Source organism: Homo sapiens, chromosome 20 (genome assembly GCF_000001405.40).
Source record: "Homo sapiens chromosome 20, GRCh38.p14 Primary Assembly".
NCBI lineage: Eukaryota > Metazoa > Chordata > Mammalia > Primates > Hominidae > Homo > Homo sapiens.
Window position 1 is genome coordinate 18,151,438 of NC_000020.11, and position 13,701 is coordinate 18,165,138.

The 13,701-nt window shown below is 41.4% G+C and overlaps 1 protein-coding gene across 16 annotated transcripts in view; it reads left to right on the forward strand.

Moving 5' to 3' along the window:
* Positions 1–13,701, forward strand: part of KAT14 (lysine acetyltransferase 14) — a 50,883-nt gene that overhangs the window by 14,285 nt on the left and 22,897 nt on the right. For 9 of the 16 annotated variants that reach the window (NR_028402.4, NM_001392072.1, NM_001392071.1 and 6 more), the window contains 3 exons: positions 7,647–7,828; positions 10,383–10,802; positions 10,940–11,508. Coding sequence is in view for 15 of the 16 variants with exons in the window: in NM_001392072.1 (NP_001379001.1) it covers positions 7,647–7,828; positions 10,383–10,802; positions 10,940–11,508 (1,171 nt within the window). In the remaining variant the exon portion in view is untranslated. The remainder of the gene's footprint in view (positions 1–7,646; positions 7,829–10,382; positions 10,803–10,939; positions 11,509–13,701) is intronic. The other 7 variants (NM_001392075.1, NM_001392078.1, NM_001392077.1 and 4 more) reach the window with 1 other exon arrangement.

Below are 13,701 nucleotides of genomic sequence, written 5' to 3' on the forward strand. Positions count from 1 at the left end.
CTGTCTGCCTCGGCTTCCCAAAGTGCTTGGATTACAGGCGTGAGCCACTGCGCCTGGCCTTATATTTTTGTAGAGACAGGGGTCTCGTGTTGTCTCAGGCTGGTTTTGAACTCCTGGGCTCAAACAGCTCTCCTGCCTTAGCCTTCCAAAGTGCTGGGATTATGGTGGGTGTGAATCACCGTTCCTTACCTTGTTAGAGATTTAGAGTGTTTACTTGTGGCAATTACGAAAATTTTTGAATTCCAGAGAATATTTTTACTTTTTTAAGATTAAAAAAAAAACTTGGCTGGGCGCAGTGGCTCATGCCTGTAATCCCAGCACTTTGGGAGGCCGAGGTGGGTGGATCACCTGAGGTCAGGAGTTCAAGACCAGCCTCGCCAACATGGTGAAACCCCATCTCTACTAAAATACAAAAATTAGCTGGGCGTGGTGGCAGGCAACTATAATCCCAGCTACTGAGGAGGCTGAGGCAGGAGAATTGCTTGAACCCAGGAGGTGGAGGTTGCAGTGAGCCAAGATTGCGCCATTGCACTCCAGCCTGGGCAACAGAGTGAGACTCCATCTCAAAAAAAAAAAAAAAAAGATGTTTGTTTCAACTGAACATGACGTTTTTTGAAGAAATTCTTAGAATGTTAAAAAATAAGAGTTGTATTACATGAGACTGTTCAAGAGTTGGATAAGTCAATATTTCACTTGAGGAGATAGGGTTATTATATTCTTTTAAGCTGTGTGTGGTGGGGCATGCCTGTTGTCCCAGCTACTCAGGAGACCAAGGTTGGAGGATCACTCGAGCCCAGGAGTTTGAAGCCAGCCTGGACAGTATAGTGAGACCCCCATCTCTTAGAAAACACCAACCAGGCTGGGCCCGGTAGCTCAGGCCTGTAATCCCAGCATTTTGGGAGGCCGAGGCGAGCAGATCACCTGAGGTCTGGAGTTCGAGACCAGCCTGGCCAACATGGTGAAACCCCATCTCTACTAAAAATACAGAAATTAGCTGGGCTTGGTGGCGGGTGCCCGTAATCCCAGCTACTCGGGAGGCTGAAGCAGGAGAATCGCTTGAACCTGGGAGGCGGAGGTTACAGTGAGCTGAGATGGGGCCACTTCACTCCAGCCTGGGTGACTCAGCGAGACTCCATCTCAAACAAACAAACAACCAACCAAAAAAAGAACCAAAACAGAGCAGTGCCTTCTAGGAGGACAAGACAGGAAAAATAATGGCAGTTACTGACTGCATCTATTTAGGTTGCCCTTAGTTAATAGAGTTTTGTATTACTAGTATTTGTTTTTAACTCTGTAAAGTAGACACTCTTTTTTATTTTTAACTATTTTTCATAGTGCTTAGCAAAGTCTGGGCACATCTGCATGTGGCTTGTTCATTGGTCACTGTGTTTATCATTGCGCTTTGAGTTTGCTGCTGTGTGCTCTCCCCAGTGGCTGCTTTGGTGCATTAGACTCGGGGATGCCGATGCACAGACCTTGCGACCATATATTTTCACTAAATGTCCACGTGGATCTATCAAGACTTTTATTGCTCTTGGGTACTTGTGAGTTTGCTACCACACTGGTGAATTTTTGTTTGAGATTCTGATTGTTAGTTGCTGTCTGAAGTCCTGTGTGAGATTCATGAATCTTACATAATGAGGTTAGTTTAGACATGACAAAGTCTTTGATCACTTCAGGTCAGGGCAGGGAGTTCATGCCTTTCCTCACTTGGGGTTCACTGCAGCCTCTGTTTCTTCAGAAGCTGAGGAATCACAGCTTTGCTCATGTTACTGAGAGTACGGGAGGGTAGTCAGAAGGAGGGTGACCTGCAGGCTGCTGTGAGAAAATGGAATAGACTCCCTACATTTTTGCAAAAGGGGTTATTTTAGTTCTTGAGCTATTTATTGGTGCTAAGAAAAGAATCGACACTATAACTGGTTCTTTCTCATAAGGAAAAGAAATCTGTTGTTTAGTTTAATGATTTAGCACTATTTATGGACCTTAATGTACCCCATTTATAAGGGATAAGAAAGGGAAAAAACTGATAAAATTGGATCTTGGAATGTTTTCATGATCTTCGAGTGCTGTCCTATTTAGTGGGTTATCTCCTGGAAAAAATTAGATTTAGATTGCCTGTTTTTAAAAATATTGCTGGATTTTAACAGAAGTTGTTTAAATGCTTCATTTGTTCATTTCTAGAGCATGTTCTGAGAGGAATCAGCTGAGCCTTATTTCTTTTTAACATGCCAATGAAAGGCATTAATTACTCTCCAGTTTCTGTGTAGTTTATTTAGTGTGTTGGCCATATTGGTATATCACCGGAATTATTATTTATTTGATCTTCCTATTTAAATCAAGTCACCTGAAAAATACATTAATTTTAAAAAGAAACTTAACATCACCATGGTAAGTGGGAAACCTATATAAATTGTCATAAGTAGAATGTAACAATAAAAATAAAACAATGCTGTTAAATTGTAGCTGGATCCCATGGCATATAATGGCAAGCCATGGCTTTCTTTTCCAGTCAAAAAGGGAGGCTGCTACAAGTGTTAATGAGAATTTAAAGCAGTAAACTTTCTTTTGATCTAACCAGAAGAAGCAAAAGAGAATTAGAAATCACTTTATGATTCTTGCCACCCGGTTTCATGCTACAGTGCTGCTCTTCACTTTGGGAACTCCACTTGAAATATCAGTGATTGGAGAAGTCCCCTGAAACCACTACCCCTGGGTAGTTACCACTTGCTCAGACATTTCTGTGTATGAATGTTAACAAGATTACCGTACCCCAGAGAAGCTGTCTGTAAAGAGCATTTATATTTAAGGTACACTTTTTTCATAGCTACTAAAGATTTTCATTCTGCTATCCATAGGACGTACTTTATTTATTTACTTACTTACTTATTTTTTTGAGACGGAGTCCTGCTCTGTCGTCCAGGCTGGAGTGCAGCGGCGTGATCTCGGCTCACTGCAACCTCCGCCTCCCAGGTTCAAGCAATTCTCCGGTCTCAGCCTCCGGAGTAGCTGCTACTGCATTAAGAACTAAAATTGACCAGTATTAACCGCAGTCTACTGTCTATGCCTTCCCTTGGAAACCACAAGCCTTTATTAGACTCCAGAGTCCCAAAATAGTTCCATCAGTCAGATTCTGCCAGTGCAACTGCTGTCCAGGCAGGAAGGCAAATGCTTCCTATCTGCCACCTTCCCAGAATCCTCGTAAAGTTGATTGAAGTGTAGATACTATGAATGTGTACTATCATATTTCATCAATTCTAAGATCCATTAACTTTAAGATACACCATTTTGTGTACAAATAAGAGCTAACTACCAATTAAATTATGACATATCAGTAACTATAAGATGTATCTAGCTGTCAGAGATGTCAAAATTTGCAAAATTACGTATCTTAAAATCAGTAAAATATGGTAGTAGAAGAAAATATTCAAGCTATTCTTCACTAATCAAAACTATACCTTCTGGAAGAATTCAAGGCCAGGACTGTAAAAGCAGATTAAATGAACAAATACTAGGCAATTATTCAGTAATAACTAAGTTTTCATATACTTTTTAACTTGTTTCTACAATGGTACATAAAATTATTTAGGTTAGCACACCCCACCATGCACGACTAATTTTTGTATTTTTCGTAGGGACAGGGTTTCACCTTATTGGTCAGGCTGGTCTTGAACTCCTGACCTCAGGTGATCCACCCGCCTGGCCTCCCAAAATGCTGAGATTATAGGCGTGAACCACTGCACCTGGCCAGGACATACTTTAAATTCTTAAAAATTGTAACCATTTCTCATTTGTCACAAGATCTAAGAGAATGCTATACAGTGTAATGAAGTTCTGAATTTTCTTTCAGATGTTTACAGGTTTTTCTTTTATGCCTTTAATATGTTATTAAAGTTTAAATGTAAAAAGGTGGGGGTTTTTTTGGTGCTACCCATCCCCCTTCTCCAGCCACTAGGAAGAAAGCTGTGTGTGTGTTCCTGGAGTGGCTTACACACAGCTTGTAGCATCCAGGGTGGGCAAAAATAAGCCTGTTTTCCAAATACTGGGTATTTGTGCTCTGATCACTGATTGCTGCTTCTAATCATAGAGGTGAAAAGAGATGGCAGCCATTGTTGTTATAGCTCCCCTCATTGCAAAAATGGGTAAAGGCATTTAATAGACACTTCTTCAAAGATATTAAAATGGCCAATAAGCACATCAAAAGATGCTCAGCATCACTAATCATTAGGGAAATGCAAATCAAATCTATAACACGATACCACCTCATGCCTCTTAGGATGACAATTATCAAAGAAACAAAACAACAACTGTGGGCGAGAATGTGGAGAAATGGGAACCCTTTTGCAGTGTTGGTGGGAATGTAAAATTGTACAATCGTTGTGGAAAATGGTGTGGTGTTTCCTCAAATAGTTAAAAATATAATGATCATATGATCTGGCAATTTCACTTCTGGGTATATACTCAAAAGGACTGAAAGCAGGGTCTCAGAGATACTTGTATATCCATGTTTTTAGCAGCATTATTCACAATAACTGAGATGTGGAAGCAACCAAAGTGTCCATCAGTAGATGAATGGATAAGCAAAATGTGGCATATACATACAGTGGATATCATTCAGTCTTAAAAAGGAAGGACATTCTGGCACATGCTGCAGTGTAGATGAACCTTGAGGACATTATGCTGTGTGAAACAAACCAATCACAAGAAAACAAACACTGTGTGATTCCACTTATCTGAGATACTTAGGGTAGTGAAAATCACAGATACAGAACGTAGAATGGTGGTTGTCAGCACTTGGCGGGGAGGGTGGAATTGGGAGTTGTTTAACGGATATAGAGTTTCGGTTTTGCCCTGTGAAAAGTGTTCTGAAAGTGGATGGTGGTGGTGATTGTACCATATAAATGTACTTAATACCACTGAACTATACTGTTAAAAATTGTTCAGATAGTAAATGTTATGTATATTTTACCACAATAATAATTTTGGGGGAAAACTATTGAGGCCATTCATAAATACTGTGTTTGTATATGTCCTGGCAACAAATTTATTCCATTCCATACAAATGTCTCATTATGTGTTGTGCTGTGATTTAGCTGGCTATATTAGTTTGCTAATGATGCTGTAACACAAACTGGATGGCTTAAACAACAGAAATGTATTCTAGTTCTAGAGGCTGGAAATCTGAAATCCAGGTGTTGATAGGATTGGTTCCTTTTGAAGGCTGTGAGGGAGAGAGTATTTTATGCCTCTCCCCTAGCTTCTGTTAGCCACAGGCCTTCCTTGGCTTGTAGATGACGTTCTCCCTGTGTCTTCATGCATCTTCCCTCTCTACACGTCTGTCTCTGTGTCCAAGTTTCCCCTTTGTGTAAGGACACCAGTCATATTGGATTAGTGTTCAACTTAATGACCTCATGATCACTGTTTGCACATAAGGTCACATTCACAAGTACTGGGACTTCCAACATCTTTTGGGAGGATACGATGAAATCTGTAACACTGGCCGATAATTTTATAAACATTTATGTTATTTCCAGTTTTTCTGTGTTTAAGTTAGCCTTGTGGGGCATATTCTTGTATATATATCCTTTGTGTTTTTGTGATTAGAAGTAGATTTGCGAGGTCAGAGGATACACACAATTTTGCTGTACATTATGAAAGTAACCTCCAGAAAGTATATGCCCATTTATAGTCCCACTGTCAATGTACAAGTACGCACCCGTTTTCGACACAGTAAATAACACATTGGTTTTTAAAATCTTTTGAGTCTTTGTCAGTCTTTTTTATTGTTTTTGTTTGTTTGAGATAGGGTTTCACCCTGTCACCCAGGCTGGAGTGCAATGGCACAGTAATGGCTCACTGCAGCCACTACCTCCCAGGCACAAGTGATCCTCCCACCTCAACCTCCCAAGTAGCTGGGACCACAGGCACGTGCCATCACACCCAGCTAATTTTTTTATTTTTATTTTTTTGTAAAAATGAGGTCTCACTATGTTGCCCAGACTTCTGTTTGTTTATTGCAGTAAAAACAGTGAAAATTTACCATCTTAACCAGTTCCAAGTGTACAGTTCAGTGGTGTTAAGTATGTTCACGTATTTGAATATAGATTCACAGATGGCCAGAACTCTTCTCAGCTTGCAGATCTGAAACTCTATCCCTATTAAATAACTCTCCATTCTCCCCTCCCCACAGCTCTAGGCAGTCACCATTCTACTTTCTGTGTCTATGAATTTGACTACTCTAAATACTTCATATATGTAGAACCATACAGTATTTGTCTTTTTGGGACTGGCTTATTTCACTTAGCATAAGTGTCCTCAAGGGTTATCCACATTGCAGTATGTGATAGGATTTCCTTTATTTTTAAGACTGAATAATATTCTATTGTATGTGTTTATGCTACATTTTGTATTTATTAGAGAGGATTTGGAAAGATTAGAAAAAGATAAGAATGTAGGAGAGGTACTTTGGAACCAAAAGCTTGGGGGTTTCATTCTCTCCATCTCAGATAGTGCTTTTTTTGAGACCCAGTTTCATTCTTGTTGCCCGGGCTGGAGTGCAATGGTGCAGTCTTGGCTCACTGCAGCCTCCGCCTCTCGGGTTCAAAGATTCTCCTGCCTCACCCTCCCGAGTAGCTGGGATTACAGGCATGTGCCACCACACCCAGCTAATTTTGTATTTTTAGTAGAGACGGGGTTTCACCCTGTCAGCCAAACTGGTCTCGAACTCCTGACCTCAGGTGATCCACCCGCCTCGGCCTCCCAAAGTGCTGGAATTACAGGCGTGAGCCACCGCACCCAGCCTCAGATAGTGCTTATGCCTACTATAGCTGAGCTTATTTGTTTTGTTTATTTTCTGAGTTTTCTATTAATATTACGTCTCTGTTCCTCAGAATGGTTTTCCTTTGCCTTCCCAGCAATACCTTCCAACTGTTAGACTGGTCTTCTTGTGAAAGACTGTCTTCTAGGATTTCCGGGGATTGATGTATCTTTTCAAGGTGGAAATAGAACAGTCGCCTTGAAAGAATTTCCGTTAGGGAACCCGGATAGTTGGCATTTTGCATGTTTTGTTATTTTGTTGTGCAGTAGGTGCTCTCTGTGTTTGTGGAGTATACCACATAGTTTTGTTACCACTCTAGTGCATCGAGGCAGATAGGATCAGATTGAGAGATGTGTGCTACTCCTCGGGTAAAATGAGGTATTTACTGGAGCCAGTTAACTTCTATCACAAAATGCCCAGCCTTGGAGTTACACTTTTTGTATGCTTTATTCTTGGGAGCTGTGCTTAATTCACATAACAAAGCAACTTAATTAAAATTAGCCTGTAGAATTCCATAATCGTGATGATTGTGATGAGAAGTATTTCACGTGCTTTGTTTGAATTATTGCATTTAATCCTCACAGCAACCCTGTGAGGTAAGTTCTATTATCCTGATTTTACAGATGAACAAACCGAGGCTGCTAGAAGTTGGTAGCGCCAGGGTTTGAAGCAGGCGAACTCCAGAGCCTCTCTCCTGCCTCTCGTGCTCTGCTCCTTCAGTAGCTGGAGGTGCCATTGCATGTTGCAGGCCAGGAGTCACAGTATACACAGACTGTCTTTTCTGTATAATGAGCAAAAGTGCCAATCATTTTTAAATTCTTGGACTCTTTAGGAAAAAGACGTCTACCTGGTGGAGCACCGTGGCAGGTTGCCTCAGCGTGGGAAGTCCCATGTACTTCCGTTCAGGTGCTCAGGAATTTGGAGAGCCAGGATGGTGGAAACTTGTTCATAACAAGCCCCCAACGATGAAACCTGAAGGAGAGAAGTTGTCTGCCTCTACTTTGAAAATAAAAGGTACTGTTGTGAGAACAGTACAAAAGTTGCTAGTCAGACCAGAGCCAAGCAGGTGTGAGCCCAGGAGACGCTCCTGCTTCCACTGGGCATGGCTCGCAGGCCTCTCTGGAGCTACTCTGTTTAACACTTCTGTGATGACACTTGTGTGTGTGCTAGAAATAAATGCCACATAAAAACATTTTATCACTTCCTAATCAAGCTATCAGTTTTATAAATTTCCCAGGGTATCTGAAAGGTTCAATGTTTTCCATCTGGTTTTTGTTTTTAAACTTCTCACAAAGGTGAAGAGATATTTTAAAATTCCCGTAATAAATAACATGATGAATTCCCATGTACCTTCCACCTCACTTTGACATTAACTCCTGACAGTCTCATTTTATCTAAATCCTCAGTACTTTTCCCCAACCTTCCCCATTCTTACAATTGGATTATTTAGAAACAAATCCCAGGAATCAACATTTCATTCCTAAATATCTTAGTATGTATCTCTAAGAGATCAGGATTCTTTCCTTTTTGCAGCCTGACCATAATGCCATTTTCATATTTAAAAAGATGTTAACAGTGACTTCTTACTATCACATATTGATCTGGTTTTATAATCTAAAAAGCTTTTAATGAGCTTTTAAATTTTTATATTTATTTGTTTGCTTGTTTGTTTATTTATTTGAGGTACAGTCTCGCTTTGTTGCCCAGGCTGGAGTGCAGTGGTGCAATCTTTGCTCACTGCAACCTCTGCCTCCTAGGTTCAAATGATTCTCGTGCCTCAGCCTCCCAAATAACATGCCACCATGCCCAGCTAATATTTTTGTATTTTTATTACAGACGGGGTTTTGCCATGTTGGCCAGGCTGATCTCGAACTCCTGACCTCAGGCGATCCACCTGCCTTGGCCTCACAAAGTGCTGGGATTACAGGGTGAGCCACCGGATCAGGCTGATGAGCTTTTAAAATTTTAAAAATATGATTGGGAAGAAAATCAAATAGTACTTAAGGGTGTAAAGTATGAAAGTTCCCCCACCTGCCTATGGCCTGCAATTTCACTTCCCAGAGTAACCACTGTTGTCTTTTGTGAATACTTTCAGAAAGATCTCTGCAGATTTAAGCATTTTCTTAGTTTTTTAAAAAAGTAAAATGGACTCGTACTATTATGAGTTTTCCATTTTTGCCACACTTACCAGTATGTCTTGGACATCTTTCCATGACAGTACATGTAGATTTACCCTATTTTATTTCATTACATCCATTATATAATTATGTGATAATTTGTTAAACCATTCTCCTGTTGATGGACATTTTGGTTGTTTCTACCTTTTTGTTGCTATTTTATTTATTTATTTTTTAATTAAAACATTTTTAAAAAGTAATAGAGATAGGGTCTCGCCATGTTTCCTGGGCTGGTCTTGAACTGTTGGGCTCAAGTGATCCTCCAGCCTCTCCTTCCAAAAGTGCTGGGATTACAGGCATGAGCCATCATGCCTGACCTTTTGTTACTTTAAACAGTGCTACAATTCTACAAATTTGTGTACATGTGAAAATGTGATAAATTCCTGGAGTTTCTACATCAAAGGGCATATTCATTCAAAATTTTAATCAGGATTGCCAAATTATCCTCCAAGAAACTGTAATAAGGCCGGGCATGGTGGCTCATGCCTGTAATCCCAGTACTTTGGGAGGCCGAGACAGGTGGATCATCTGAGGTCAGGAGTTCGAGACCAGCCTGGCCAACATGATGAAACCCCATCTGTACAAAAATACAAAAATCAGCCGGGCGTGATGGCGCATGCCTGTAATCCCAGCTTCTCTGGAGGCTGAGGCAGGAGAATTGCTTGAACCCGGGAGGCGGAGGTTGCAGTGAGCCGAGATCACACCACTAACATTCCAGCCTGGGTGACAGAGCAAGACCCTGTCTCAAAAAAAAAAAAAAGTACCCATTGAAATGCCCATGAAAATGCCCATTTCCCCATACATTTACTGAGCTTTATCAAACTTTTTTTTTGGCTCACTGCAGCCACCACCTCCCAGGCTCAAAATCCACCCACCTCAGCCTCCCAAAGTTCTGGGATTAAGAGGCGTGCACCACCACGCCTGGCTAAACTTTTAATGTTTGCCAGTTCCAGTAGGTGAAAGATAGTATTTATTTGTTTAAATTTGCAGTATAACTTCTTTTTTCTCAAGAGATATCTAAGTCTTTTTTAGTTTAGGGCATTCATTGAACATTTCTCTTTATTGAACATGATATTACTCATAATAATAAATTAGCAAAAGAAACTAAAGTTGAGTAGTTATTTTAAAATTTAGATATGGGTTGAGCAATCCAAATCTGAAAATCCAAAATCAAAAACACTCCAAAATCTGAAACTTTTTCAGCACTGACATAACGCTCAAAGGAAATGCTCATTTGCAGCATTTCGGATTTTGTATTTCTGGGTTTGGGATACTCAGCCAATAAGTAAAATGCAAATATTCCAAAAGCCGAAAACATCTGAAATCCAAAACATGCTTGTGCCCAAGCATTTCAGATGAGGGATACTCAGCCTGTATTTATTCTTTCTTAGCAGCCTCAAAACCAACTTTAGATCCCATCATTACTGTTGAGGGACTTAGAAAACGAGCAAGTCGGAATCCTGTGGAATCTGCCATGGAATTAAAAGAGAAAAGGTCTCGAACTCAGGAAGCAAAAGACATTAGAAGAGCCCAGAAGGAGGCCGCTGGCTTTCTTGACAGGAGCACATCTTCTACCCCTGTAAAATTCATAAGCCGAGGCCGCAGGCCAGATGTGATTCTGGAAAAAGGCGAAGTGATTGACTTTTCCTCCTTGAGCTCCTCTGACCGCACCCCGCTGACAAGCCCATCTCCTTCTCCTTCTCTGGATTTCTCTGCCCCTGGTACACCTGCCTCTCATTCTGCCACACCTAGCTTGCTTTCAGAAGCAGATCTGATTCCAGATGTGATGCCCCCACAAGCCTTGTTTCATGGTAAGAGTTTGTTTGCTTTGCTCTTTTATTTTGGGTATGGGCCATGGTATAAATGTACAAGTTTTCACCCCGTGGGCTGTGTGCTCTGCATTTCTTCCTTCCTATGTCTTGATGACACTGTTTTGTACTCTGCACAGATGACGATGAGATGGAAGGCGATGGAGTCATAGACCCAGGGATGGAGTACGTCCCACCCCCTGCTGGGTCAGTAGCTTCTGGGCCAGTGGTTGGGGTCAGAAAGAAGGTCAGAGGCCCTGAACAGATAAAGCAGGAGGTAGAGAGTGAGGAGGAAAAACCCGACAGGATGGATATTGACAGTGAAGACACAGATTCAAACACATCTTTGCAAACAAGGGCTAGAGAAAAGAGGAAGCCTCAGCTGGAGAAGGACACAAAGCCGAAAGAGCCCAGGTATACTCCCGTGAGCATCTACGAGGAAAAGCTGCTGCTCAAGAGGCTGGAAGCTTGTCCCGGTGCTGTTGCCATGACTCCGGAAGCTCGGAGACTGAAACGCAAACTGATTGTCAGACAAGCGAAAAGGGATAGGGGATTACCACTTTTTGACTTGGATCAAGTTGTTAATGCTGCTCTTTTGTTAGTTGACGGGATTTATGGAGCCAAAGAAGGAGGAATTTCCAGACTTCCAGCTGGACAAGCCACGTACAGAACCACCTGTCAGGACTTCAGAATCCTTGACCGATACCAGGTGAATGCAAGCACTTGCTGTAAAGCCCTTGGGGGCAGGAGTGGAGGTGGGGCAGGCAGCACTAGGCATTGGACATGGTTATGCTGTGACCTTTTAAATCCTGAGTAATTTGGGAAGAGAAAAGTAAAGTGCAAGGGAAAAAAATACAAAAATCGCTGGGCTTTATTTTTCAGAATTGTTCATTGTAAGTACACCTGAATACATCTGAGTTTTTCTTTTCCTTTAGGCATTCAAACATAACCTATAAGTTTTCTTCATCTGTCTCTCTTGTCTCTCTCTCTCTGAGGATAGATATGCATGGTTTGTGTCGTAGCTTTGACAAATTTGTTGAGGCCATGACGGTGTCTCTGACACTGTGTTGCAGAGGATCTGAAGGTGTGTAGACATCTGCGAAGGACAACATGAAGAAATAGCAGCCAAGGGATCAGTGTGGTATCAGTGTTGCTCAAAGGATGGTCGGTGGAACCCAAATTTTGTGGATGCTTCTGGGAACAATTAATTCCACTTAGAACTACCTGTATATACTCTCCCACTGGGAGGAACAAGAGGCCTTATTCCCTTTATCTTTGCTAGCACTTGACACTAACCAGCCTTTAAGTTTTGCTAATTGGCTGGCTGTAAAGTGAAATCTTGTTTTTTATTTATATTTCTTTGGTTACAGGTGAGGTTAAATTTCCTGGTTGTTTCTTTGTGAATTGCCTGTTTGGAGTCTGCATGTTTTTCTCTCTTCTCTGGAAGCTAGTGGGATCTGCTCTTCATTGCTGGTGTTCTGGTATTATTCAGTGATGTGCCGTATGTAGGGCTTATGTCTTTCCTTGTGCTGGACATGTGGTGTGTGGGCCCTTTCAATTTGAAACTTTCTTTCCTGAGTATGGAAAAGTCTTGATTTCCTATCTTCTATTTTTTCTGTTCTCTCATTTTAGAACTCCCCATTATTTGGATATTGGACCCTGTAGATTAAAAGTTGGCAAACTTTATCTGTAAAGAAATAAGTATTTCTGCCAGATAGTAATTATTTTAGGCTTTGCCGGCCACAAAATCTCATTCGGAACTCTTCAACTCTGCTGTTGTGATTGGAGAGCCGTAGTGAATGAGTGTGGCTGTGTTCCAGTAAAACTTTATCTACTAAAATGGGCAGTGGACTGGATTTAGCCTGGGGGCTATAGTTTACCAAGATCCCTACTCCAGATAGATCCTCTTTTCTTTTTTTTCCTAATTCCCATCTTTCCTGGGAAGCACAGTATTAACTGGCCTGCCTACCAGGAGCCAAGTCGGGAGGGCCCAGGAGCCCATCGTTTAGGAGGTAAACTGACTCTCCCTGTCTTCAGTACAGTACTCCCACCCTTGGCTTCCTGTGTCCAGAATCTCCCTCTTGAGCCTCTCCAGTCTTCTGCCCGTGGAGGGAAAGATCATTTCCTAGATGTGGGCAGTATAATTACTATAGGGGTATAATTGGAGCCTTTAACCTCTTAAAGAGCCTCACAATCCATAGTCATACCCCCCAGGCTCTAAGCCTGATGCCTTAGGTGACTACACTTCCCTGAGGCTGTGTTTTGTAAATCACCCTGCTTAGCTTCACCACTGGCTTAGGTATTGGCTTTCTTTGGTCTGTTAAGTCATTTGCTGCTTGTTCATATGCTTTTGTTAGTCATCTATTCACTTGTTCTTGTTCTTTTTTTTTTTTTTTTTGAGACATGGTCTCTCTCTGTCACGCAGGTTGGAATGTAGTGGCACAACCACAGCTCATTGCAGCCCCGAACTCTCAGGCTCAAGCAATTCTCCCACCTCAGCTTCCCAAGTAGCTGGTACTATAGGCACACACTACCACACTCAGCTAATTTTTTTTTTAATTTTTATTTTTAGTAGAGACAGGGTCCTACTATCTTGCCCAGACTGATCTCAAACTCCTGGGCTCGAGTGATCGCCTCAGCCTCCCAAAGTGCTGGGATTACAGGCATGAGCCATTGCGCCTGGCCAATATTCACCTGTTCTTTGTTCTTATTCTTGTGGGCCTGTCTGTTTACTGCCTATACTTAATTTTTTAAATTGTAAGATGTGTCATACAGATAGAAGGCAGCATAGAAATATGGTATAATTTAGATATTAGTAAAATAAATGCCCATGTATTCATCTCCTGGATAAAGAGTGTTGTAAACACCTTAGAAGTCTCCTGTGTACTTTCTGTTCCCCTCA